Here is a 27955-nt window from a genome sequence, read left to right on the forward strand (position 1 = left end):
AATAGTGAATTATCATTTGTGGATTGGATTTATTTTTAGAAATAAAGATTCATTTTTTTGAACAATTATTCAGGAAAAATATAAAGAGTAGCAGCCTAATTACATTCAAATGCTGGAGTGGATAAAAGTGTTCACAGTTTCATGAAAGTAATGGTATCCTTCTAGTAAATAACAATAATACTTCACAATTTGAGTTTTTTCTTTTTGGTTCTCAAAGTTTATATTGGTTGATTCATATGATAATGCTAAACATACATACACACATACACACACACGTATATAAAGGTATTATACTAATTGATATATTTCCAAGAAGCTTTATATGTTTAGTTAAAAAAAAGTGTATCATGACAACAGATGGGCAACTTAGGCTCTATCAGAAATGCCATACTGTCCCACCAATGTCTAAGAAAAAAAAATTCTAAAGGACGCTTGCACATGCCATACCACTGTAAAATTGGGTCTCTAAAAGTAATTTTTTATTTTAGAAACTATTTTTATATTTTTTATTTTTGTAAATATTCCTGTGCTACAGTACTTATTTTTCCAGATGAATGCCATCAGTTTGCACAATATATAATTCTTCATCTTTCTGTTGGATTTTAAAGTTGGGTAACTTTTCTCTCTCTGGCTAGGTACATACGCTCTGAGAGATCCATAATACTAATTAACTTCTGCCTGTCTATCATCTCATCCAATATCCTCATACTGGTTGGACAGACTCAGACACATAATAAGGTATGACTGGTAATTATTCTGATTCTTTTTTTGTGTTTATATTTTGGCATATTGTTAGTTATTGATAATCTAAACATTCATTCTAAAATGGAGAACTTCTGACAAAATTATATTTTAAAGCAAAATTTTGTTATTGGTTTATGAATAAAAACATTGTCTATTCCAGTTCAGAATGTATACCCTTGATTTAATTCCCTGTGGGTTGAGAGGTTGTTCATAAGAGTAAAAATGTATGTTTATTAAACATTATATCAAAGCTCTATGAGTTCAAAGCTTTGGGACATCAAAGCACATATTTTGATTCATTAGTCTAATTGTAAGAAGATCTAATTGTAACAGGATAGAAGGCTTTTGTTTTGGTCTAATTTATTAACATATTGATTCCTAAAAGGTAACTATAAATTGCTTACAAGTGTAACATCTCTCTTGAAAATCCACCTGAAAAATATCCATAGGCAATAATTGAAGAGAGTGTTAGATGAAAGCTACTTTAGATTTTATGCCTTTCAAAATTTTTGCTTCACCTAAAGGTATTTTGATACTTAGCAGAATGGAAAAGTGTATTTTCTGTTTATATGAATGAACCAATTTATGAGTTGAATGACCATGTTTTTTCCCCCAGAAATGATTGTCTTTACTATTCTGAAATGTATTTTAAGAAACCCATAATAGCAATTTGAAGTAAACTTACCCCTGCCTCAAAAGGATTCTGTTAAACACCACTTTGATAACTTATTTGTCAATCGATCACATGCCTGCAGGCCTGTTATTTTTCATTTTTTTAATTTTCAAATACAAAAGCGAATAATTAAAAATTTTCCCATAAGCCATCATTTTAAAATAATCATATACACTTTGATAGGTTCTTTTCATGTATTATATATTCATAGGACATGTATTAATGTCAAGGATAATGGATAGTCTGTTTATTTTGCTAACCTACGTTCCTAAGACTGGTGATTTCCACCAAAAGAGCCCAATTCTAGGTCCGGGTAGGACCTAGGAGGCTGCTTTAAGTGATTCTGATAAATGTTTCTTCTTGGCCCACATTGCCCTAGGCCAGGGGAAGGGCCCAAGGGGTAGGCCACTAATCCTGAAGGAAAAACAAAAATGACAACCCCATCAAGGGCCCTGTAGAAATAAAAATTACTTTCGTGTCTTTGAGTGTTTAATTTTCCTCCACTTATTTCCTGTATCTTTTCTTCTTAAAGAAAGAATCCGAAAGAAAGTAAAGACTATTAAAATATAGTTCAGGTCCATGTTATAAACATTTAATACAAATTTTAAAAGGAAATACAAAGTAAAGAAAAAAGAGAGAGACAGAATGACTAAAGGTGAGAGGGATGCCAATCAGAATTGGGAGACAAGAAGGTACAAAATGACCAACAGAATAAAAAATGAGGGTAAACATGGATGTAAGTGAAAAGAAAAAGGGAAACAAAAAGGCAATGATAGGAAGGAAGTAGAGATAAAAGGGATGAGATGGGACCGTAAACCTTAAGGAATTATTAAATTACTCATGTCATTCTTTCCTTTTTGCTTGTTCACTTGGGCTGGGCCTCAGATCTCTTAGAAATGTTCATACACTGGTTAATACCTATTCCCAATTTTTTAACTACTTGTCCTTCAACCTCCACCCAGAAAAAGAGAGCTTTCCTCTGAAATAGGAATTATTTATTGGGATCAGGAACCAGAAAAAGTCAAGCTAAAGCCAGCTAGAGCTCAGAGTTTAAGTTTTTTTCACAAAACATTCTTCCTTTTCTGCCATTTTTTACTCTCCAAACACTCTTGAGTTATACCTCCCCTTAGACTAGGAAAACTGCATGATCCACAGTACAAAATATGCTTTTAAAACTGTTTCATGCTGCTTGGCAAAGTTTTGATAAGTTCTGAGCCAAATGGTACTACAGACATTTCTACAAGGTGTACTTCACATCATAGTGGTTATGCTCTAAATCACTGATGTACAATAGAAATGCAATGCAAGACACAAATACAAGCCACATATGTAATTTAAATTATATTAGTAGCCACATTAAAAAAATTTAAAAACCCGATGAAATTAATTTTAATATATACTATTTACCTCAGAATATCCACAATATTACCATTTTAAGACATAATATAAAATATTAATACAATATTTTACAATCTTTTTTAAGTCTTAAGAATCTGGAGTATATTTTATACTTATGATACATCTTAATTTGAACTAGCTACATTTCAAATGTCCAATGGCTACATGCAGCTAGTGTCTACGACGTTGTGTAGGTCTAAATGCCAGCTATATTCAGAAACTAAAATTATCTCAAAAAACTACATTCTGTCTGCCCAGTTTGACCTTCACAGGTTTTCAATGTCCTCTTTGTTTTGTAATAATGTCTTTTAAGATCTGCAAATATGAATATCAAAGACAAGATGAATTTGGTTTACTTTTCATTTCTTATTTTGAGGAAGGGCTGGTATTGACTTACTACCAAAATATGAGTTTGATGTAGCTTCTCCCCAAGTAATTAACTACAGAATAGCTTCTATGTAGTTTTGCAACCAAAGTGGTTTTGTATCAGATTGACTAATGCTAATTTTTGCTACTATAGTTATTGATGCATTCGGGGAGGAGTGGGTGGTAAGTGGTAGTATTGATGAAGAAAATAAGAGATTATTAGTTTGTTCTTATGCTATATTAATTTTGCTTTACTAGCTCTTAGTAGATGTTCTTACAAGCCTGGGACAATTCACATTAGAGTGATTAGAAGAGAAAAATACAAAACACTGGAATTTTATTCTTAGTCACTCAAAACAATATCACATTTTCTAGGGGAAATAATCTTGTGTTTTATTAGTTGAATTAGATGGACTCTATTTGTATTTATATATGAGAATTTGGTATGTGAAAGGCTACATCTGTTTGACTGTATTTGGGATTAATGGTGTCTCAAAAAAATAGAAAAGTACAAAGTGTGTTGTCTGTATAAACTTATGATGTGCATAAACTACAAATAACTATTTTTTGAAAATGTAAAATATTGTTCAATAACTAAAGTATTTTATTTTGGTTTTGTATAGGATCCCTTTGCTTCTGTGGGGATTTTTTAATTGATCAGATTTGTATCTTTGACTTCCCTGATAAGTTTTAATTGATGCTTTAGTATTCCCATCTTAGAAAGTATAAACATCCGAGAGAGCTTTTTGATGAAGAAATTATTTGATACTGCTTCAGTGAGTTGTCATGGCTAGTTTGTATGAAAGCTGGTATCTGATGTTGATGTACAGAATAGTTTTGAAGTGTAATATGAGGGCCTTTCTTTGAATTGCTTATTGAAATATAATTGACCTGATTATCTTGCTACTGAGTATCTCTGCTTCTTTTTGAATTGAAATGTAAACAAGCTGAAATAATCCATTGCATAAAATAAATGTATTCAAATTTTTTGACTGTATATTCAATTACTGGCAACAAAGTAAGGAACCAAGTGCATTTTATTATATCTTTTCTTAAAATGCAGTTGTAATATTTAATTATAACCCACTTCATTATATTTTGAGTTTTCTCATAAAGTGATATTTCCCTTTTATCTCTTTGTGCATTTAAACTTTCAACCAGGATGTCTTTGTATTGCTCAAATGTTATTTATTTGTAAAGCATTTCCTTTACACCTTTAAGTATGCATTTGTGTTTTTGTTGTTGTTGTTGAGCTGAGTAGACTATTTTTGGTACTACTGTTTTGCAGAAAGCAAAGATTATTTTGAAAACATAAATTTAGAGAATAGTTTTTCTTAATGACAAAAGCATGTATTGCTTTTGCTTCAAAGGACTTTAAGGATTTAAAGAATTTATCATATTGAAGATTTCATAGCACTCTTTTTAACTGATAGAAGACAAATCTGGCAAAACTCTTGGTTTTTTGGTTAGATAAGGATAACCACCCAAGAAGTTCAAAGTGGTGGGAGATAGCTTCTCTCTCTCACAAGCTCACTACCAGGTTATAAAAAAAAGCAAGTCTAAGTCCAAATTTTATCACACATTTAGATATTTATTAGATAATCCCTCATTAGCAAATCAGGAACAAAATCTATTCAGGAAGCTCAATGAGGGCCTAGGTCTTTGACCTTTTAGATACTTTCACCCACCCTGTATGTAACATTCAGTGAGGTGGACATAGCAACATTCTAGGAGCAGGATTCTGTGACCTTTAGTCAGTGTCATTCAGTCAGAAATCCTCCTAATCCAATGTCTGGACACAGAATGATTATGGATAAAACCGTGGGCCCCATCGCTAAAAGATATGGGATATAGGCCACAATGGAATCTTATGTACAGTTCATTTAAGAGTAAGAAGTGTTTAACTGTTTTAGCCAATACACATATCTTCAATGCCTTTACTTTCACCAAAGGGAATCCATTAATACATTCATTATAGTGATTAACCAGACACTAGTTCACCAATAAAGACTAATCTTTTATATTTAGTTTGATAATGAGTAAAGTGTTGATTGTGGCTAGATGTACCTCAGTAAGAAGGACCTGTAGTTGCCCTGTATGGGCCTTCTAGATATAAAGCCAACTGACCAACTAGTCTGGGCATTCTTGGACTCCTCCTAGAATTACAGGTTAAACTAACTGGCACATATATAGTATCATACTGAAAATAACAAAATATTATAAAATAAATTGTAGATATTATAACAAGCCTACAAATGTTAATATTTTGGGAACTACTAGTCAATTGTGAGAGAACAAAGAGATATTAGCTTGAGTCTTAATTGACCTAGGAGTAAAGCAAAAGTTCTCATTGATAGATAAAGGGAAGTTTCTAAATTATTTGGGGTGGTCAAACATTTTCTTAGCATTATTTAGGAGGAAATTGTCTCATGGTTCTTTATGTGTGGAGCATTGTATTACATAATGGGCTGTGTCTTTTAATTCAGACTTGCAAAAGATACAAAAATTCTCTGTCTTAAAGCACTTTTAAAAGTCCCGTTCTCTATTATGTTTTCTTCTACTTCATCTTGTGGTTATTTACCTTTTATAAAGATGTTATATTTTTGTTCTGTAGTTTGAATAGAGAGAATTAGAAAACATGGGCCAAACTAGTAGGTTATAGTCACTCTAATGGAAGATTTTTTTGTTTTGTCAGAATTGTGTTTTTTAAAAAGTAAAACCTCGAATTGGAATACCTTAACTTGGGTCAAGCACTCTCTAATTCAACTATTTGTCCCATGACTTTCTTTTGCCAATAGTCCCAGCTTCTGCACACATTTATGTACATGCCTGACCTCTAAATATCTATGTGTTTTCGACTTCTGAGAAAAAATATTGAACATGTATTTACAGCTATCCATTCAGTTCTGCCTGATACCCTTTGAAGCAGACTGCCCCCTGCCCCAGAGATTCAGTGTTCTACATGCTTCTTTGGGAGATATCAGTCTCAGATGGGGATGGTTAAGAGAAGGTATTGTAAGCCAGGTAGATTTAAATATCCCAAATCTGCCAGTTCTCCTAGTTGTGTGATCTTAAGCATGACACCCTGCATCTCTAGACCTAAGCTTGTTGTCAGAGTTACATGAATTAGTACGTATGGAGCACTTAACCCAGAGGCTGGTATCAGCACTTAACCCAGAGAGTGGTATGTTTAAGTGTAAGTACCACTTAAACAGTAGCTGTAATTATGGCAAAGATAATTATGACACCCAGATATACATCTGATTCTGTCCTTCTCTTCATACCTTCATATTTCCTCATGTCCAATTTCCTGCTCACCACTAAATTCACCATTTCTGTCTCCACCCCAGTCTTTTGCATTCGGAGGCAAAATTTAATGCCTTTTCTGTAGTCTCCAACTCAATTACATAAGCTAGAACTCTGGAAGTTATCCTTGATGTCTCCTTCTCGCTCATGGAGTAAATCTAATAAATCATCCACCTATGACAATTTAACCCTCAAATATTTCTCAGATCTAGTTTCTTGTCTCTATCAGGTATTGATCATACTGCTTACAGTATTATCAATCCCATTCTCTATTCTGTAGCCCACGTGATGGAACAAAAATTCAAATCTGACCACTCGATTTCTCTATGTAACATTTATTGTTGTCTCATTTCCTACAGAAGTAATTTTCAAATTGTGCTCAGACACAAGCATTGAAGCATATTTTGTTTATCTGTGAAGATTTTTTTATTCACTGCTTTTCTTGTAATAATATATTGGAACTCAGGAATAAATCGTACAAGAGAAAAACTTCTGGAGCTTGTAAAACCTGAGAAAAAGCAGATCTTAAAAATGGCCCATGCTGACCTCTCCATACTGTTTCTATTTTACTGACTTTTGTTATACCAGCAAGACCAAACTTCTAATAGTTCATCAAAATTAATCTATTTTTTTTTGTTTCATGCTATACTTCATCCTGGGGCACTGTTCCTTCACCCCAACCCCACCTGACTTCCTGTCTTTATTTGTCTCAAGCTCATTCTCTGACACTCTGATGAGTTTTCCCATTAGAGAAAACCCTGCTTATGCACACCTGCTCTGGGTTCCAGGATTTCCAGTGCATACCTATTCTCTTGTATTATATTACCTGTTTATAATCAGACTATACACTTCTTAGGGCAGGACTAAGTCATACTCATTATTAAATCTCTTGCAAGCACATTGTCTATGTATAGTAAGTAAATAATAAGTATTATTAGATGAATGAAATAAATTTGAATATATTTGTGCTTATATCTATGAATCTAATAGCTGTTGTTAGTCTTACGAAAAGTAGAGTCCCCCACCCTAGACAGGATCTCAGCTAATAGTGATAGATTATTTTTCTAGGGCCTGTTTTAGCTCTAAGTGATTGATGGCATGCTTTAAATGTGATCTGGCCCCTGGATTTTAGTTAAGGAAATGCTGAAAACTAGCAAAAGTTAATCTTTTTTCTTCATAAGAATATAATGTTCATAGCCTTAAAAAGAAATGTGCGTAGTTACAATTCTTCTCATTGGAGACATATCCTGCCAATAGTGTCCCAAGTGTAAGTCTATTATGCCTCAAATGAATGTGTGATTTTAATGGTCGAGGCTAACACCTATTTAGATTCATTAAAATCTAATTTGTTGACTTGCTATGACGTTTGTAAAATGATTTGAAGGTAATAAGCTTATGTGTAATTAACTTGGTTCCGTTTTGAAGTATCTTACTAACTTAGAGTTATTCTGGATTCCTGAAAACCTTCATCAAACCAAGGAGCATAATGGTTGGCTAGCTTCTTGATTTCCCCAGGCTCCCAGCAATAAAAGATGATTTCCCAAAACAGATTCCCAGTGAAGTGAGAGACAGTGAGATAGCAGAGACTCTGTTGTCCTACTATAACCTCCTAGTCCCTTGATTATTCATTTCCAGATTTGTGTGGTAAAAGCCAGAGACCACATTATTGTAAATAGGGCAAAGATCAATATGAAGGATGGGCTCAGGGCAAGCAAAGAAGATGAAAGTGGAATTACTTGACAATAGGATTACTGAAACGATTGAGATGTCAAGAGCCAAATGACCTTGAGGGACAAGGAAGCAGTTTGGACATTCAGTGAGTATTCTTAGCTTCAACTTCAAAGCCGATCAAAACTCCTGAAGAGTGAGAACTCACTCAACAGGGAAGAAGCAGAACACGAGTCTCAGCCTAGTGTGCAGGTGATTGCTTTGAGAATGTCAGGCCTACTCTCATTAATTTTTGTTCATTTGTGCTGAGGGAATTGTACAAAAGCCAGACAATGCAAAGAAACTCCATGACTTGATCAATTCTACTCTCCATCCCCACCACCCCTGCATTAGACTTGGCCTTCATGATTTCTCACTTTGACCACTATAACATTCTTCTAACTTTCCTCTGCAACTAAAGCCTTTCCATGAGCTCATCCTCCATATCACTTTGAGAAATATCTTAAATTTAAAGAAAAAGAAATACCTGATTGCGTAATTCCCCTGCTGCAAACTGTATGATGGGTCTGTAGGGCTTATGAGATTAATTCCATGTTCTGCATATCACCTGCATTCAGGGCTGCCTGAAGTACCTAAGTTGACTTTGTGGGAAATAAAAAGGGCACTCCTTCAGGGCAGATGCGGATGAGTTATAAAATCATCCTCTCCCTCCAGACTGATATAGCCTCTAGCAAGCCTTCTGGCTTGGCAACAAGAGCTAGATTTCAGCATTCCCTTTCTGTTCCCTCCTAGGGACCGTGTCTGTGTGCATTCCAGCTTTCTTATGGCTATGGGAGTTCCTCTTGCTTGTGTGCTTTTGCCCTTGCTTTTTACTCTGTCTGATAAACTCTTACCACACTTCAGAGTGGACTTATGAAACCATTTTAGCTCCTACAACACTCCTTTCTGCTTTCATAGCATGTGATACATACCTCTATTGTTAGCACCAATCACCTTATTCTATAAGTTATCAATTCCTGATCAACCCTGCTCACTGTATTGTGATTCTCAAGGGTAGTATGTCTCTCTTTTTACTGGATTTAAAAACCATTAATACTAGTACTTGTTTTATATATGGCGTGAAATTAATAAATGTTGAATGAATGAATGAACTTATGGCTATACCTATTGAATGAGGGATAATATAATAGGAGTATAGCCACTTCATTTTTGGGGGCCCCATTTGGAATAATTATAATGGAGGTCAATTTTTTTTTATTATTGTTGTATTGTTGCCATTTTATGATGATATAAGGGAGTTGAAGAAAATACTGAAGACTTACAGAATGTTTTTGAGACCCTCCTTTGATGAGAGATGGTTGAGTTAAATCAGATCTTATCTTTATGCAGAGATATCCAAAAGAGAATTTGAGAAATTGAGTGTCCTTCCAAGAGTCTCACAGAAAGGTTAAAGAATATCTGCTTTTCTCCCCTGAAATCAAACCAGTAGAGAAATTACAAATTTCTCCCTATGTATTATTTTTCATCTTTCCCCTTCTTGGGACATAATATGAACTGGTCAGAAGTTTGGCTAATGTCAATAGAAGAATCATGTTGGAGTATAGCTGATAATGTTTATGAGAATTCTTAATACAATGTAAAATACTGAAGTACTAGATAAACATCACAGAAAGTGAATTACTTTAATTTACAGATATTCTCACAAAAAAAATGAAAAGCCCTTGAGATAAGATTACAATAGAATTTTCAATGGCCCATGATATGAACTTTGAGACTATGTCTCTCAGGGTGAATATGAGGTGAAGAGAGTAGAATTTAAGTTATCACTAAAGATCTGTTGACCAAAGTAAAATTTGTCTCAGTACGACATTGGAATGGTGTGAAGACTGTAGGAGAGAACTCCTTTGACAAATGCTCCATAATGTAATTCAGAGGTTGGCAAACTTTTGTTGTAAAGGGCCATATAGTAAATACTTTAGGCTTTGTAGGACATATGCTGTCTGTTGAATCTATTCAGTTCTGCTGTTGTTGCTAGAAAACAGTTATAGAAATAAAGCAATGGATGTGACTGGATTTGGCCTGGGACCTAGCCTTAGGCAATTTTGAGCTTTCTAGAAGTATCTTATGTGCATACCAACAGAACAACTACAATGTAAGGTGAGGCCAGCCTATTTCTGGGCTGATGCTTTATGTAAAAATAACCTCCAGTTCTGACGTGTCTACCCAAGGGTTAGCCTGTGTAGCCTGCAGAACTGGAACAGAGGGACCTTGGCAGTTTTTGAAAAGGCTTCTGCCAAGATGAAAAGGAGTGCAAAACACTTTGAATTTCTTCTTCTTCTTTTTCTTTTTTTTGAAATGGAGTTTTGCTTTGTTGCCCAGGCTGGAGTGCAGTAGCGCGATCTTGGCTCACTGAAACCTCCGCCTCCCGGGTTCAAGCAATTCTCCTGCCTTAGCCTCCTGAGTAGCTGGGATTACAGGTGTGCATCACCATGCCCGGCTAATTATTGTATTTTTAGTAGAGATGGAGTTTCACCATGTTGGTCAGGCTGGTCTTGAACTCCTGACCTCGTGTTCTGCCTGCCTTGGCGTCCCAAAGTGCCAGGATTACAGGCATGAGCCACGGCGCCCAGCTGAGTTTCTTCTTTGGAGCACTCTGGAACTAATCACAGAATGCCTTCACTTATGATGCCGATTGGTTACCAGTGTATAAAACTATGGAAAAAACCATGAATCAAATCCCTCACAACCAAGCTGGACATTTTATAAATTGAAGAAGTTAAAAGTAGCTAACAAATACCCAGTGCATGAGACAACAAAGCTGGCTGGCTTTGTAGAAGAAAACTTCTTAATGTACAGCAGTATTTGTTAAAGCCCTTATTAGAGAAACTCTTTCATCTGACAGTCTTGGGCAGAGAAGTAACATCTGAAGCAGAAAATAGAGATGGCAGAGTCAAGCTAATTCCCAATCAAATTCATGCATAGACAGAGTTCTCTTTTTACCTCTCTACCTCTATCCTATCTCACCCTACCCTAAAATTTGGATTGTTATTATGTATATCAAATCATAAGCATTGCTATGGCAAATCTTGGAACTAAAGTCCAAACACTAATGCCTATAATAAAAAAAAATAAGCAGATTAAAGTTCATTTTTTACTTCTTTTGTGGTAGCTAGTCAGTTAATTTTAAATCTTAAGCCTTGAAGAAAGAACTAGGCATATGACTGAGTTGAGTCTGGGTCTTGACTATGAAATTTAAGATGTATGAAATTCAAAGTAAGTAAATTAAAATATTTATAGTTATCTTAGGCTGCTAGTGGATTGAATCAAAGATTAAGACTTCAATTGTAATGTGAAGAAGAAATGACTAGCTTTAACAGTAAACACATAAGCAGAAGAATTTTAATTTGTTAATATGTGTGATAAGGGCCTGTGTAAGTGTTCTTTGTTAAACTACAATACACATAGTTTTCATATATCTCTATAGATGTGTCTTTGGTAGATGATACATCAGTATATACATGCAATTAGGACTACAGAAGGTTTTGAATGGATCTTATTTGTATCTGTTTTGTTGCCAATTAAATTCTATCTGTATTTTAAGGTGATTTTTCCTAATGAATAGAAAGATGTGTATTGCTTTTACAAAATACAAATTAGTTCTGCTTTTCTTATTTACTTATTTTTGTTTATTTTTATTAGAAATAAGACCACCTATTTCTTTGTTTAGAAATTTGTTATATATTTTCAAAATCTCCAGAATAAAGCTAAAAGGTGAATTCTGTATGCCTAAGAACAGCATCCTTTATTACAATGAAAAGGACAATCTGTACCAATTATCTATTGCTATGTAACAAATTACCTCAAAGCTTAGTAGCTCAAAACATATTTATAATCCTCACCATTTCTACAAGTCAGGAATTTAGGAGAAATGTAGCTGGGCATTTCAGGCTCAGGGTCTCTCATGAGACTGCAATGAAGATGTGTCGGAGCCACAGGAACCCAAGGTTTGCTTGGAGCTGGAAGGATCTGCTGTAAACTGACTCATCATTCCAGGTGTAATGGAAGCTTCACTTATTCTAACTGAAGTACTTTAAGCTCAACCACTTCCTGGGCATGCACCACTTGTCAAGTTACTTAACCATTCTTCACTCACCAGCCTAGTGTTCTTTTACAGTTATAAATCATATCGTGATTTAAACATATGTCTGTTTAAAACCCTTTGGTGAAAATAAGTGAAGCTTCTATTATTACACTTGGAATGAAATCCAAACCACATAATATGGCCCACAAGCCCCAACATGACATGGGCCTATGTACTTCTTTCACCTCACTGCCTCATATTCATTACTCTTTTCTTTCTGTATATTTCTGTCACACTGGCCACCCATTAGAAATGTTGTAGGGGTCAATAAGCCCTTAGTCAAGTGACCATTATTCTGGTTTGTACCTGTTGCCCTGGTGCAATTACTAGCAAGACCAGTTTCAAAAGCGTCTCATCAATTACATGCTTTTCCTAGCATCCAGCTCTTTTCTCTGCCTCCTAACTTTTTTATATTCCTCCCTTATTAGTCTTCTTCCAGCCTTGGGCTAGCCTAGTTAACTTATATTAACTTACGTATGTTCTGCAGATAAAATACAATCGTCTTAGAAAAGCTTTCCCTAAAATCCCACTCCTCTGAAATGAGCACTCTCATGGTTTTTCCACTAATCTGTCTAGGAACCCATTTTTTTTTTACAGCCATTACTTTACTTTGTAATCTTATTTTAATTAATATCCAGAAGAGAAAGAACATTATCTGTTTGATTTGCACTGTATAACCAGTGCTGAATACAGTGCCTGGCACATAGCACACACTCATTAAATATTTTTAAGTGAATGAAGAAAATATCTAAGCCTCAGTTGTTTTTAAATCTAGAAGTAGGGAGGAGATATTATAAGAATCAAGTAGGATTGCACCTAGGACAGTATCTGGCACACAATATACTTTTTTCTTATTAAAGTATAGTTAACAAAAAAATGCACATATTTCAGACATACAACATAGTGTTTTGATATAAGTATACTCTAATGATTCCCACAGTCAAGTTACTTAACATATCCATTACCTGACATAGCTACCCTTTTTGTTTATTGTTTTCAGGATACTTCAGATTTACTCCTTTAGCAAATTTCAAATATGCAATGCATTATTATCAACTAAGTTACTGTGATGTACATTAGATCTCAAGAACTTATTGGTCTCATAACTGGAATTTTGTACCCTTTCTAATTGAAGTTAAATGTATATACAGTGAAATGCACACTACATACATAATATGATGAGGTTGGACCAATATATACTTATGTAACCAATACCTGATCAAGATATGGAACGTTGTCATCACCCTAGAAAGTTCTCTCTTGTCTCCTGCCAGTCAATCCCCATCCCCTCATAGGCAAGCGTTGTTCTGATTCCTGTCATCGTGAATTCATTTTTTCTGTTTCAGGATTTTATACAAATGAAATCATAGCATGAGTACTTTTTCTTCTGGCCTCTTTTGCTCAATATATTTTCTTTGAGAAGCAACTATATTGTTGTATGTATTAGTGATTAATTATTCTTTATTGCTGAGTATTATTTATTGTATGACTATATCATGATTTGTTTATCCAGTTTCCAATTGATAGACATATGAATTGTTTTTAGTTTTTTGTTACTATGAATAAAATTGTTTCAAAATTTTTGTAAAAATCTTTGTATGGACATGTATTTTCATTTCTTCTGGGAAAGAAGCTAGGAGTAAAATTGTTGGGTATAAAGGCAGGTTAGATTACTTTTAACTTAAAAGAAAAAATACAAACTGCTGAATGGTTTTCCAAAATGGTCATACCACTTTGTACTCTTACCAGTAATCTATGATAATTCCAGTGTTACATATTCTTGGCAACATTTTAATTTACATTCCTCTAATAACTAATAAAGTTTAGCACCTTTTCATGTCCTTATAGGCCATTTTAAATCCTCTATTGTGATGTGTCTGTTCAAGTCATTTCTCTCTTTTTTATTTAGATTGTTTGGATACAAATCCTTTGTAATTTATAATTTTTCCTATAGCTAGTGTTTACACTTCATTAATGGCATCTTTTGCTGAGTAGAAATTTTTGTGAAGTTCAGTGTATCATTTAAAAAAATAGTTTGTGTTTATGACTCCACCATAAAAGATCTTCATTACTCCTCTAGGTCATAAAAATGTTTTTCTATATTATCTTATCTATATTCTAAGTTTTCCCTTGTCATCTTAGCTTTTATGTAGATCTATGTCTCGAACAAAATTAATTTTTGTGTGTTATATGAGGTAGGTCTTGGGGTTCATTATATTCTACATGGATATCCAATTGTTCTGGTACTGTTTGTTCAAAAAATTTCCTTTTCCCATTAAATTGCTTTGGTAGCTTTGCAAAATCAGTTGACTGTATGTGTGGATCTGTTTCTGGATTTCTCCATTGTTTCTGTGATCTATCTTTCCTTATGTCGATGCCATAATCTTTACTACTATAGCTTTGTGTTAACTCTGGAAATCAAAGAGCTTGAGTTCTCTAACTTCATTCTTCCTTTCCAATATTATTTTGCTTAATCTAGGTATTTTGTCTACATTTGTCTAATCTAGGTTCTTTGGGTATTCAAATACGTTTTAGAATCAACTTTTCAATTTTATACAAAAAAGTGTGTTGCAATTTTCTTAGTATTATATTGATTGAATCTTCAGGTTAATTTAGGTAGGGACCAATATATTCTTTTGATAACTTATTAATCATCTAATGGCAATGGGTATGAATTGGCTTCCTGAAATAAGATCATTAGGATCATTAAGTTGTTGTGACCAATTAGATGAGGATGCTGAGAAAGAAAGGACATCCCAAACTGCAGTGCTTTTGGACTCTTATATAATGCTCATTATTAAACTAGAGAAGAGTTGAAGAGAAATTAGGAGTTTATGGAGAGAACTATGCACTGCTCTAGGGCAAATACTCTGCTCCAAGCAGTTGTTTCCTTGCTCTTATTGTCTTTCAATACTCTGTCTTTTGGATATTTTATGTGATTGCTTCCTAAATATGTTTTCTAAAGCAGAGTATTTTCCTTCCAAAGTACTATATATTTTCAATATATCAAACAGGATGCAATTATAGATTGATTTATTTTCTTTGAATTTCTTCACCTTGTTCATTATCAGATGAGGGCAAAAATATTTCTGAGATCAAAAACTCATGAGCCATTTTTTTCTTTAGGCATATAGAAGGGCATGCCATTTTGACTAAGCACAAATAGAATATTTGTAGAAAGTTAAGAAATGAGCAGCAATATTCCCTTCCAGGCAGTCAGAAGCTTGGTGGCACACTTTTTACATGGAAGCAAAATATTTCTGAAATTAAAAAAGTAATTTAAAAAGAGCACAAGGACCAGAATGTATGCCAAGCAAACACCCTTTAACTTTATTTACAGTAAATGAGAGCAAGTTTTAAAAGCCTTTAGTGAATATTCTGTCTAGAAACCATTTATGTTTAAATTTCACTGATTAGATTTTTAAAAGTAGGTAGTATTCTGTATTTAGCCCCTTTTAAACTGCTCAGCATCAAAATATCTGAAAACAGTTGCTCTTTTGCCTATTAATTCAAACATAAATGCTATTATTCAAGACGTAAAATAAGACATTTACCTATCTGTTATTAATACAGCCTGGTCCTTTTTACTAACACAGTAATCGCATGAGCATGCCTATTACTTTTTTTTCCAATACTAGAAAGGATTCTATTATGTATAATTTGTGTTTTACTCTTAGAGAACTTTTTCATTTATCCCTGTGAGGCTGTTTCAGCGATATGAAAACATGAGTATGTAGCATAACTATCTTTATGTTTTTTCTTTTATTTTTTATACTGTCAAGAAAAAATGATGCATTTTCTTTATTCATTAAATCTCGAAGCTATAAATCTTCCAATTATGTTTAGATATATCTTATTGATTATCTTTCCTTATTCAATTAGAACTGATTTTTAAAAAATGCCTTTGTATTTCTTTTTTTTTTCTTTTTTTTATTATTATAATTTAAGTTTTAGGGTACATGTGCACAATCTGCAGGTTAGTTACATATGTATACATGTGCCATGCTGGTGTGCTGCACCCACTAACTCGTCATCTAGCATTAGATATATCTCCCAATGCTATCCCTCCCCCCTCCCCCCACCCCACAACAGTCCCCAGAGTGTGATGTTCCCCTTCCTGTGTCCATGTGTTCTCATTGTTCAATTCCCACCTATGAGTGAGAACATGTGGTGTTTGGTTTTTTGTTCTTGCGATAGTTTACTGAGAATGATGATTTCCAATTTCATCCATGTCCCTACAAAGGACATGAACTCATCATTTTTTATGGCTGCATAGTATTCCATGGTGTATATGTGCCACATTTTCTTAATCCAGTCTATCACTGTTGGACATTTGGGTTGGTTCCAAGTCTTTGCTATTGTGAATAGTGCCACAATAAACATACGTGTGCATGTGTCTTTATAGCAGCATGAGTTAGAGTCCTTTGGGTATATACCCAGTAATGGGATGGCTGGGTCAAATGGTATTTCTAGTTCTAGATCCCTGAGGAATCGCCACACTGACTTCTACAATGGTTGAACTAGTTTACAGTCCCACCAACAGTGTAAAAGTGTTCCTATTTCTCCACATCCTCTCCAGCACCTGTTGTTTCCTGACTTTTTAATGACTGCCATTCTAACTGGTGTGAGATGGTATCTCATTGTGGTTTTGACTTGCATTTCTCTGATGTCCAGTGATGGTGAGCATTTTTTCATGTGTTTTTTGGCTGCATAAATGTCTTGAGAAGTGTCTGTTCATGTCCTTTGCCCACTTTTTGAGGGGTTGTTTGTTTTTTTCTTGTAAATTTGTTTAAGTTCTTTGTAGATTCTGGATATTAGCCCTTTTTCAGATGAGTAGGTTGCAAAAATTTTCTCCCATTTTGTGGGTTGCCTGTTCACTCTGATGGTAGTTTCTTTTGCTGTGCAGAAGCTCTTTAGTTTGATTAGATCCCATTTGTCAATTTTGGCTTTTGTTGCCATTGCTTTTGGTGTTTTAGACATGAAGTCCTTGCCCATGCCTATGTCCTGAATGGTAATGCCTAGGTTTTCTTCTAAGGTTTTTATGGTTTTAGGTCTAATGTTTAAGTCTTTAATCCATCTTGAATTAATTTTTGTATAAGGTGTAAGGAAGGGATCCGGTTTCAGCTTTCTACATATGGCTATCCAGTTTTCCCAGCACCATTTATTAAATAGGGAATCCTTTCCCCATTTCTTGTTTTTGTCAGGTTTGTCAAAGATCAGAGAGTTGTAGATATGCGGCATTATTTCTGAGGGCTCTGTTCTGTTCCATTGATCTATATCTCTGTTTTGGTACCAGTACCATGCTGTTTTGGTTACTGTAGCCTTGTAGTATAGTTTGAAGTCAGGTAGCGTGATGCCTCCAGCTTTGTTCTTTTGGCTTAGGATTGACTTGGCGATGCGGGCTCTTTTTTGGTTCCATATGAACTTTAAAGTAGTTTTTTCCAATTCTGTGAAGAAAGTCATTGGTAGCTTGATGGGGATGGCATTGAATCTATAAATTACCTTGGGCCGTATGGCCATTTTCATGATATTGATTCTTCCTACCCATGAGCATGGAATGTTCTTCCATTTGTTTGTATCCTCTTTGATTTCCTTGAGCAGTGGTTTGTAGTTCTCCTTGAAGAGGTCCTTCACGTCCCTTGTAAGGTGGATTCCTAGGTATTTTATTCTCTTTGAAGCAATTGTGAATGGGCGTTCACTCATGATTTGGCTCTCTGTTTGTCTGTTATTGGTGTATAAGAATGCTTGTGATTTTTGTACATTGATTTTGTATCCTGAGACTTTGCTGAAGTTGCTTATCAGCTTAAGGAGATTTTGGGCTGAGACAATGGGGTTTTCTAGATATACAATCATGTCGTCTGCAAACAGGGACAATTTGACTGCCTCTTTTCCTAAATGAATACCCTTTATTTCCTTCTCCTGCCTAATTGCCCTGGCCAGAACTTCCAACACTATGCTGAATAGGAGTGGTGAGAGAGGGCATCCCTGTCTTGTGCCAGTTTTCAAAGGGAATGCTTCCAGTTTTTGCCCATTCTGTATGATATTGGCTGTGGGTTTATCATAGATAGCTGTTATTATTTTGAGATATGTCCCATCAATACCTAATTTATTGAGAGTTTTTAGCATGAAGGTTGTTGAATTTTGTCAAAGACCTTTTCTGCATCTATTGAGATAATCATGTGGTTTTTGTCTTTGGTTCTGTTTATATGCTGGATTACATTTATTGATTTGTGTATTTTGAACCAGCCTTGCATCCCAGGGATGAAGCCCACTTGATCACGGTGGATAAGCTTTTTGATGTGCTGCTGGATTCGGTTTGCCAGTATTTTATTGAGGATTTTTGCATCAATGTTCATCAAGGATATTGGTCTAAAATGCTCTTTTTTGGTTGTGTCTCTGCCCAGCTTTGGTATCAGAATGATGCTGGCCTCATAAAATGAATTAGGGAGGATTCCCTCTTTTTCTATTGATTGGAATAGTTTCAGAAGGAATGGTACCAGTTCCTCCTTGTACCTCTGATAGAATTCGGCTGTGAATCCATCTGGTCCTGGACTCTTTTTGGTTGGTAAGCTATTGATTATTGCCACAATTTCAGAGCCTGTTATTGGTCTATTCAGAGATTCAACTTCTTCCTGGTTTAGTCTTGGGAGAGTGTATGTGTCAAGGAATTTATCCATTTCTTCTAGAGTTTCTAGTTTATTTGCGTAGAGGTGTTTGTAGTATTCTCTGATGTAAATAAAATATCTCTGTATTTCCTGTAAATAAAAAGATGATGTTTGAGGTAAACAAAATCCTGTTTACCTATTTCCACTGCTAGAAAGTGATGATAAACTCAACTAAGAACAATTGGAAAAAAATACGTTACATGGATGGGGAAAAAAGTTAATTATTTTGCATTTTGTCTTCTGATCATCTTCAAGATTTAGTTGACTGGTCTGCATTACTGTCTCAAAGGGAGATAGCATGAATTTTGTGAAAGAAGTGTGTTTTCAGTGCAGATTCTCCCCTGGATACCCACTTGTAATTTCTTTTGGTGATAATAGATCTTAGCTATGCACATCAAGGGAAAACTAGATTCTTCAGGGTATCATGCAGTGTAGCTCATCACAGTATCCTCAGTGCTTGTTGGCAGACCTGTCTATTTGTAGAAACGTGGTTGTTATCCTATAGTGGAGATTGTTGGAGTGTATTTACGCAGCTTTCCCAGTCTCATGTCCAGATATAAAGAGGATCCTTGTTAAGCTTCCAGACCCCATTTGTCAGGAAAGAAGGGAGAATTTGAATGAAATCTCTGCAGCTAGCGATATAAAGACGAATATCTTTAAGCTCTGTTTTTCAGAAATGAAATGGTATTCGCAGAGAAGGATGAAAAAAATGACAACTATTTGTGTCAGTAGGAAGAATTATAAGAAAAGAAAAAAATTCCTAGAGATTAGAGGAAATCTAGCAAGGTACAGGATTGAAAATGATGAAGAGGAGCAGATTTTTATGCCTGTAAAATCTCATTTGGCCATGATTATTTCTGTTTTGTTTTTGGAACTTGGAAAGGACACAAATAATGTGTAATGTTGGTGTCATTTCCATAGAATACTGACAGAGACTTGTCAACATAAGAAATATCTGCATATTGAATTCACATGTATATAGAAGTGAAGAACGGTTGGGAATTGTACTGATTATAAAAACACTAGATACAGTTAATGCATTCAGCAAAGGGAAAAACTGCAAATTCGTTGCAGAAATAAATTACCTTTATGTATTTAAAATGTTAGGGCTTACAGCCATTTTTCTAATGACAAAATGGTGTATAGTCCAGAGCTTCAAAGTAGGAATTATTCAATTCTTACAATGAAATGTTACAAACATTTTTAAAAGGGTGACTTATAATGGGAAATATATTTGAGAAATGAAGTGCACAATATGGAAAAGTATACCAAGACAGTAGTGGTTCCCAACAAGAGTAAAAAGAGACAGGACATTTAGAAAAACCATCTGGAGAGTTTTTTAATTCACCTTCCCCACACCCTCTCCAAATCCTGTTATACCTTCAGGAGTTGAACGGATAGATTAAAAATGCTCCACAGGCGATTCTGATAGACATCTCGTTAGTTAAGAACCCCTGCCACTGGAGACTGCAACAAAAAACAGAAAGCTAGATAAGAAATAGAAGGCTGAAGTTCACCTGTCAGTACTTCTCCTGTGTTGGTCTATTCCACGTAATCTTCTACTTACCTCAGTTTTACTGCATGTCAAATAAGGATAAGAATATACCACAGCAATATTATGAAGATTAATATTAAACACTTTGACCTTCCTGGAGAAAAGCACATGATATTAAAAGACAGGAATCCAGCAAAGCCAAAAATATATCCTTTCGAATTTGCTTAATAAGAAAATGAGTCAGTACGGTGTAAATTAATGCAAGTTCTCAGCTCCAAGGAGATGAGATTCAGCAAAAGCTGGGCCTACAAGAAGGATGATTTTAAGTAACATGGAGCTTAAAAGTCTTCAATAATTAACCTTGTTGCTGCCAATTCTGTCAGCCTTCCAACTACATTTCTTTAATATTTTCTCCCGTGTTGGTGTTCAATAACACGTAGTTAGTTTTAACCTTAAAACTTCTAAAATGGGCTGGGCGCGGTGGCTCACGCCTGTAATCTCAGCATTTTGGGAGGCCAAGGTGGGCGGATCACGAGGCCAGGAGATCGAGACCATCCTGGCTAACACGGTGAAACCCAGTCTCTGCTAAAAAACGCAAAAAAATAGCCGGGCTTGGTGGCGGGCACCTGTAGTCCCAGCTACTCGGGAGGCTGAGGCAGGAGAATGGCATGAACTCGGGAGGCAGAGCTTGCAGTGAGCCGAGATGGCGCCACTGCACTCCAGCCTGGGTGACAGAGCGAGACTCTGTCTCAAAAAAAAAAAAAAAAAAAAAAATTCTAAAATGAAAATGTTTGTGGTTTTTCCCCTTATTCTCTATTCGCAATAAGATCTTAGCATTTAATTCAACAAATATGTAAAATATTAATGGACTCAGATATAAAGACATTGGATATATCAGAGAATAATAAAATAATAATAATTGAATTCTTTAAGCTGTAAGCTTTCCTTGTAGGTTATAATAAGCCTAACTACAAAATTACAATTAACAACAGGAGAAAAGTTAGCCAAAAATTTTTAAAGAAAATTTTGTTTAACACAAATTCATGTAATCAAAAACCATTTTTACATAGGGATACCTTGTGTAAAGTCTGTTTTAATACGCAAAATTATGTGTGTGTGCACATGTGATGTGATTTGTGCTCAGTTATAGATTTTTAATTTTGGTAATTCTCCATTTTATGATGGAATCGAAGATTTGAAGGAGGAACACATTAACAGTCAATTTTCTATTAAAAATTAATTTATTATGTCATTTGAATGCATAGTAGACCAGACTGGATGAGAATGGCTTTTGGGTAAAGTATTTTGTCTATGATTTTACATGGTAAACCTATATACTTTCATACATTTCACCAGGTTATAGGGTCCTACCTTCCAGAAGTCAATAATTCAGACACAAATAAGTAATAGATCTCCCTGCTGTAAGTGTATTTACATTTCTTCAAGCAGTGTGAGGGAAGTGGTGTCCCTCATTGGAAGCAGAAATAAGTATTAAATTTGTATTAATATTAGGACTTCCTTCTAGACGCTATTTCAGAGTCAACTTGGCATAGCAAAAATGGTTCTTGTCTCAAATCCTAACTCTGTCACCAGTCAAAAGATGACTTGGGCACGTCTTCTAGCCTGTCTCAACACCAGTTTTCTTAAGAGTGAATGGAAATATGTGGGTATATATTTGGTGTCTGGGGTGGAGTATGAAAAGAGTTGGACTCTGCTAGTAAAGGTTAAATAAAAACCATCTTTAGTTCCCATATAGCTCTACGATTCCAGGATTCTTACTTAGGGAGAATCCTAGAATTATTATTTATATTCTCATTTCCTTATGTCCTGGGATTAAAATATGGACATTAGCATTTGCCATTGTAGTTTTTCACAGTTTATTGATGATACATTAATATACTAAAGATAGGAATTGTTTTGTTTATTATACATCTAAACTAGTCTAAACTGTATTTAGGAATATTATCTCTCTGCAAATGGACCAAATCTGCCCTCAGTCTTTTACACAAAGATCCTTCCTAATGGCAATTCTCAGTAAATACAATGAAGAACAAAATTATTTCTAAAATCATAGCAGTTCATTTGCTTTCCAATGTTTTTATCATCACCTCCACATTTTTTTACTACAGGCTTTTGTATTTGAATAATTATATGCAGTTGCACTATTGAATAGAAAATTGTCACACACAAAAATACAAGGAAAATGGTAGCAGCAAGGCTAATCTATAGCTGCGGCCTTTCTTAATGAGCGTTGCTGGGAAACTTTTCAGAACCCTGCAGGGAAAGGCATGTTTTTGTAAGAAAAAGGTCTCAAGCTGTTAGAACTGATAGAATTTCAGAAATGCCATAAGTTCAGCTTGCAAGAGATTTGTAGGTTTTATAAGCAGAATGAAAAAACTTCAAGATACTTCTTTAGAATCTAAGTTTATATAGAATGAAGAACTATCAGATGTAAGAAAGGGAAAATAGGTTTCACTCCAAAATACGGATACAGGGGCCACTGAATGTAATGGGAATTGTTATATAAATATACTAATTTCTGTATATTTAATTTCATCTATTTGAAAATTGTAGAGCCTCAGTAAAATTATTCAAGTGTTTGATATGACATTTTTTATACTTTTTTTCAAAAACATTATAAAATAAGAAAGTCCTAAATGAATAAATGTATGCATAAATATGAACCTGTGTCTCTTGGGATAGAATTATCTTCTAAACTATTTTGTGCAATAATATGTAACATTTGGGTATTCATGGTAAATATTTGGTTTATGTTATATAGTACTTATTTCAGTAATCCAAATTGTAAATGAAGGCCAAAGCATTTTTACATTTCTGAGCAAAGGAAAGTTTTATGGTAGATACCGAAATATGACCAGAAAAACTAAAGGTTCGTTAAGAATTCCAATGGATATTGGTATTTATTTATTAATACTAGAATAAAAATAGGTTTATATAATATTTTGTAAAATAATTTAGGTCTAATTTATGATTAGAGGGTCTGTCTTTATTAACAGGTTACAAGCATAATCAACATTAGCATGCTTTGCCTTTAATGAATTCTGTATCTCTTGTGAATACATACATATGTTTTTGGAGAGAAAGGCATCTTAATGTATCATAAAGGACAGAAAATAGTCATCCCTATCTTGTCTTTGAATCAACACACCTTGAATGAGGTCCAAGCTATACTGGCTTTATATCAAATTCTGGTTTGTGCTATAGAAAGCAGTACTTAGAGTATCACTATGGTTCATAGCGATCACATCTTAAAGGAAAAAGCATAATTTTATTTGCCTGCTTATTTTTAATTCTTCACTTTGTTTCGTTTTTTTCTAAACATATTTCAATTTTTGACACCTTGGACTGAAAGTCACTCAGTAAAGAGATAGGCAAACTTGAAAGCATGTGAAACTCAAATACTTTTGAGAAGGAGGTTTTATTTTTTTCTTCATCCTTGTTCCCTTTGCTCTTATTAGTAACAATTCCTTCCTTACTAACATAAATGCTTTTCTCTCAGTGGGTGGTTAGGACCACAGTCATGACATGTTACTTCCAATTCTCCTATGTTTTCAAAAACCTATCATTTATTGGCAATTTCTCAATATTTCTCTCCAACCCCATATGAAAATTCTAACAATTGTGTTTCAAGCATGATACAATAATTCCCTCTTTTGTCTCTGGTTTTACTTTCTGCGGTTCCAGTTACCAGTGGTTAAAGTAAGATATTTTGAAAGAGAGAGAGAGAGAGGAGACCACATTCACAGGAATTTTATTACAGTATATTGTAACAATTCTTCTTTTATTTTATTAGCTATTGTTAATCTCTTACTGTGCCTAACTTATAAATTAAACTTTACCATAGGTATGTATGTGTCATAAAAAAAAAATATTATAGATAGGGTTTGGTAGTATCTAGGTTTTCAGGGATCTACTGAGGGTCTTAAAACATATTCCCGTCCCATAAAGGAGGAGTACTGTAGTGTGTTTGAGACCTTACATATAGCGTTTTCTAAAAATAGATGTTGCATTTCCGCAAAAAGGAACCATTTTAAATTTGCTTCACTGGAAAGAGTTCAGGAATCTGACTCTTTATTGAAAAGTAAAGGTCAAAATTGAGGTTACCTGTAGGTATAATTTATCTTCATTAAAAAGTGGCTCTCAAGAGATATTAAAGGAAGCAATAAACACCACTTTGTTATGACTTCCTTCAGTTCACTGTCTGTAAGACAAAGACATGAAGGAACTCCGTCTTTGTATGTTAATTTTTGCAGAACTGACACTGACATCAGTGAATGTTTTTTATGTTAGTATTGATGTCCACAGGGAATACAAATCCTTATTCTCATTCATATACTATATTTCAGATATATAATTGGTGATGATACAGAAAATTTCTCTCAAGTTTTTCTTCCAAAAATCATGATGGTAAGAAGAGATATTTTCGCATGATGGCACCTAAATGACTTTTGCATTTTGACACAAGAAAGTTGATGACTCATGAGTGCAATCACTGTCTTTGTTAAGCATCATTCAGGTTTCCTAACAGCACAGTGTTGGACAGTATGCTCTGGAAGCCACAATAATCTAACAGAAACACGTGTCATATTTGCCTCATGTGCAAGTCTTGCATATGTTAACTTAATGCTTAGAAACTGAGGCTAAATTTGAAAACTGCAGCCCTTGAATTTCCAAGTCTGTCTTAAATGTGGGAGGGTCAGTGTTTGCTTTTGGATTAATTTGGGGAGGCTTCATGGGGAAGTAAAATTTCAGGCAGATCAAATGCTAAGGGAGACATGTACTATCTCACAGTAACTCATATAATGTTGTTGGAGGGAGTCTTAATGATTAACTTTATTCACACCTCTCATTTTACAAATGAAGAAACTGAGACATAGAGGGTTGATCAAAGCAAATACAGTGATTAGCAGCAGAGCCGAGCAAAACTCAGCTTCCTCCAGTTATTTAACCCTCAGGTAAACTTCATTTCAATATGTTCTATATACATTTAACATACTCCTTCTACTCAGTACATATCCTTACATCTCATAATAGGTAGTTTAATTCCAAAGTCCAAATTCTAAAAGGATAAAAGGACAGAAATGACTCATCCATAGATGGATACATGTATTGCTGTCCTTATTCACTCCTTATCCTCATTTTTTACCAAATCAAAGATAGACACTAGGAGAAAACTATATCCAATTAAAATTTCTTGAAAAAGACAATTTACAAGGTGAGAAGGAAACTCTCTAGGGAAATTTATTTCACTTGAAGCATGAAAGTTAAATAAAACTAGGATATCTGTGATCTACAGACTAAGGAGATTTATAACTAGAAACCGCCATGGCTATTTCAAGCCCAGCAGGTCTTTGCTTTCACGTGCTAAAAAACTATCAGTGTGATCAGTTTTAACCTGACCTGCCAGTCTTGAAAATCTATTCTTTCTAATTCCTCCTCTGGTTTTATTACCCTGTCTTCTTAGCTATATCTTTTATACTTTTTTTTTCTATTCTTCTTTATGCTAAAACCTTCTTTCCCACTAGACAGGCATGTCTTTCTCATCTCCTTTTTTTTTTATTTATTTAGATTTGTGCAATAACTTGAGTATTTGACTACCAAAGCTATTATAGTGCTGCACATACTATCTGATTATCCTCCTTGGACTCAGACTTGCATTCTCGCTCTAGGTCTTCTCAGAAATATACCTATGAACGAGTCTCACCCAAACTCACTCCACACCCCCACCAACTTATCCTATAGAATACAGAACAACTTCAGAAATGAATTGTAATGAGAGTTCTTTTCAACATTACAAAAACATATTTACACAGTTACTGAGAAAAAAAAAGTGTATCTATTTGTCTGTAAACCAGCTATTCTACAATACTCTCAGGGTTTTGTTCATTTTTGTATTTTATTGATGCATTAAATTTCTGGAAAGTCTGAGTCATTGTTCAAGAAATATAGTCCCATTGGTTTATTCCCAAGAAAGATCACTGTTCAAAATATTAGCCTTCTTTCTCTCTCTCTGTTTACCTCCCTTCACATGCCCTGAACCAAGACACACACATACGTGCAAATTCTCTTACTGAAATCTAGATAATAACCTTTAGATAGGAACAAATAAAGTGGAACATTGCCTTATACAGTGGTTCTCAATCCTGGCTGCTCATCAGAATCGCCCATAGAGCTTTTTAAAGCTGGGAGTCCTGAAAATCAACCATGAAATTCACTGAATTAGAATTTTGGAGGGTGAGTTCAGGGAACCAGAGTAGTAAAAATTGTCACAAGTGATGCTCATATGCAGCTAGAATTGAGTCACAGAGCTTGTAATAGACCTTACAAGGTGAACAGGGATGATTTGACTCAGATGAAATAGCTATTTTTAAATGTAAATGTCTTTACATAGCACCATCCCACCCCTAGCCCCCGTCCACAAGAAAACTCTTTATTAGTCTGACTAAAACTGATCCCACATTTAAACAACCTTGCAGGTCCTGTTCTTATCCCCCATGTTCCATATGGGGAAGCTGCCCAACTTTATATGATTTTCTTAAAGCACCCAAATCTCTCAATTTGATTAGAATTTAACTTAATTGTGAAAGCCTCTAAATTGAATTTGATTTAGATGGAAAGTTACCAAATTACGTGTTCCAAAAATAAAGAAATAATTTTGGTCCAACTTTGTAAAAAATCCAAAATACTTCTTCTCTATTGTAATATCTTAAAGTCCTGAGGTCATTGGCTAATTTTAGAAATAGAATTGCTCCTGGCCACTTTGTTTCTATCTTTCTATTTCCCCCAAATGCTGTCTCTACATGTGTCCTGAAGCATATTTTCAATTAGCTTAACCCAGATCTGTGATGGACTGAGGTAAGCAAAATGCCCTCCCTCAGTAATAACTTGCTCATCTGTAGAAGACAAATGACTCTTTCAAGGAAAATGTAGTTTGTTTACCTCAGTCTCTGCTTCATCCCATGCTCATTCTTTACATGCTTACTAACTGAAAAAAAATTACAGAAAAGATTCAAATCACTCGAATTCTTTCAGAAAGTGTATTAAGATAAAGGAGAACTTACAAGAGCTTTCTTACAGTGTTGTGGGATTTTATTTGTTTGTTTTTTGAAAGGGCAATGTTTTATGTCAATAAGTTTTATTATTTTGGTTTTATTCTGCTTGATAATTCTTTAAAAGGAGTAAAGAAGAAAAATATGGTTCACAGCCAGTAACATGAAATATTTACTTAATAATTAAAGGTAATAATTAGATATTTGTATATGTATCGTCAAAGGATGATGTAGGGTGTTAATTATCTCTTATTGACAGTAATGGACAAAGAACAAAATCTGCATGTTTTAGCATGGTTTCTTTAGTTCAAAGGAACCTATGTTAGTATTTCAATGTTTATGTGCACTTTGCCAGAGTTAGGGAAAATAGCCTCAAGTCTCTTGAAGCTTCAGTTAGATATGGATAGAAAATACCCCTTGAGACCTAAT

At 34.5% G+C, this 27955-nt stretch overlaps 1 protein-coding gene across 1 annotated transcript in view; it reads left to right on the forward strand.

The window, feature by feature from the left end:
* Nucleotides 1-27955, forward strand: part of ADGRB3 (adhesion G protein-coupled receptor B3) — a 754225-nt gene that overhangs the window by 603207 nt on the left and 123063 nt on the right. The window contains exon 20 of the mRNA NM_001704.3: nt 636-738. Coding sequence (NP_001695.2) covers nt 636-738 — 103 coding nt within the window. The remainder of the gene's footprint in view (nt 1-635; nt 739-27955) is intronic.

The sequence above is a fragment of the Homo sapiens genome, chromosome 6 (genome assembly GCF_000001405.40).
Source record: "Homo sapiens chromosome 6, GRCh38.p14 Primary Assembly".
NCBI lineage: Eukaryota > Metazoa > Chordata > Mammalia > Primates > Hominidae > Homo > Homo sapiens.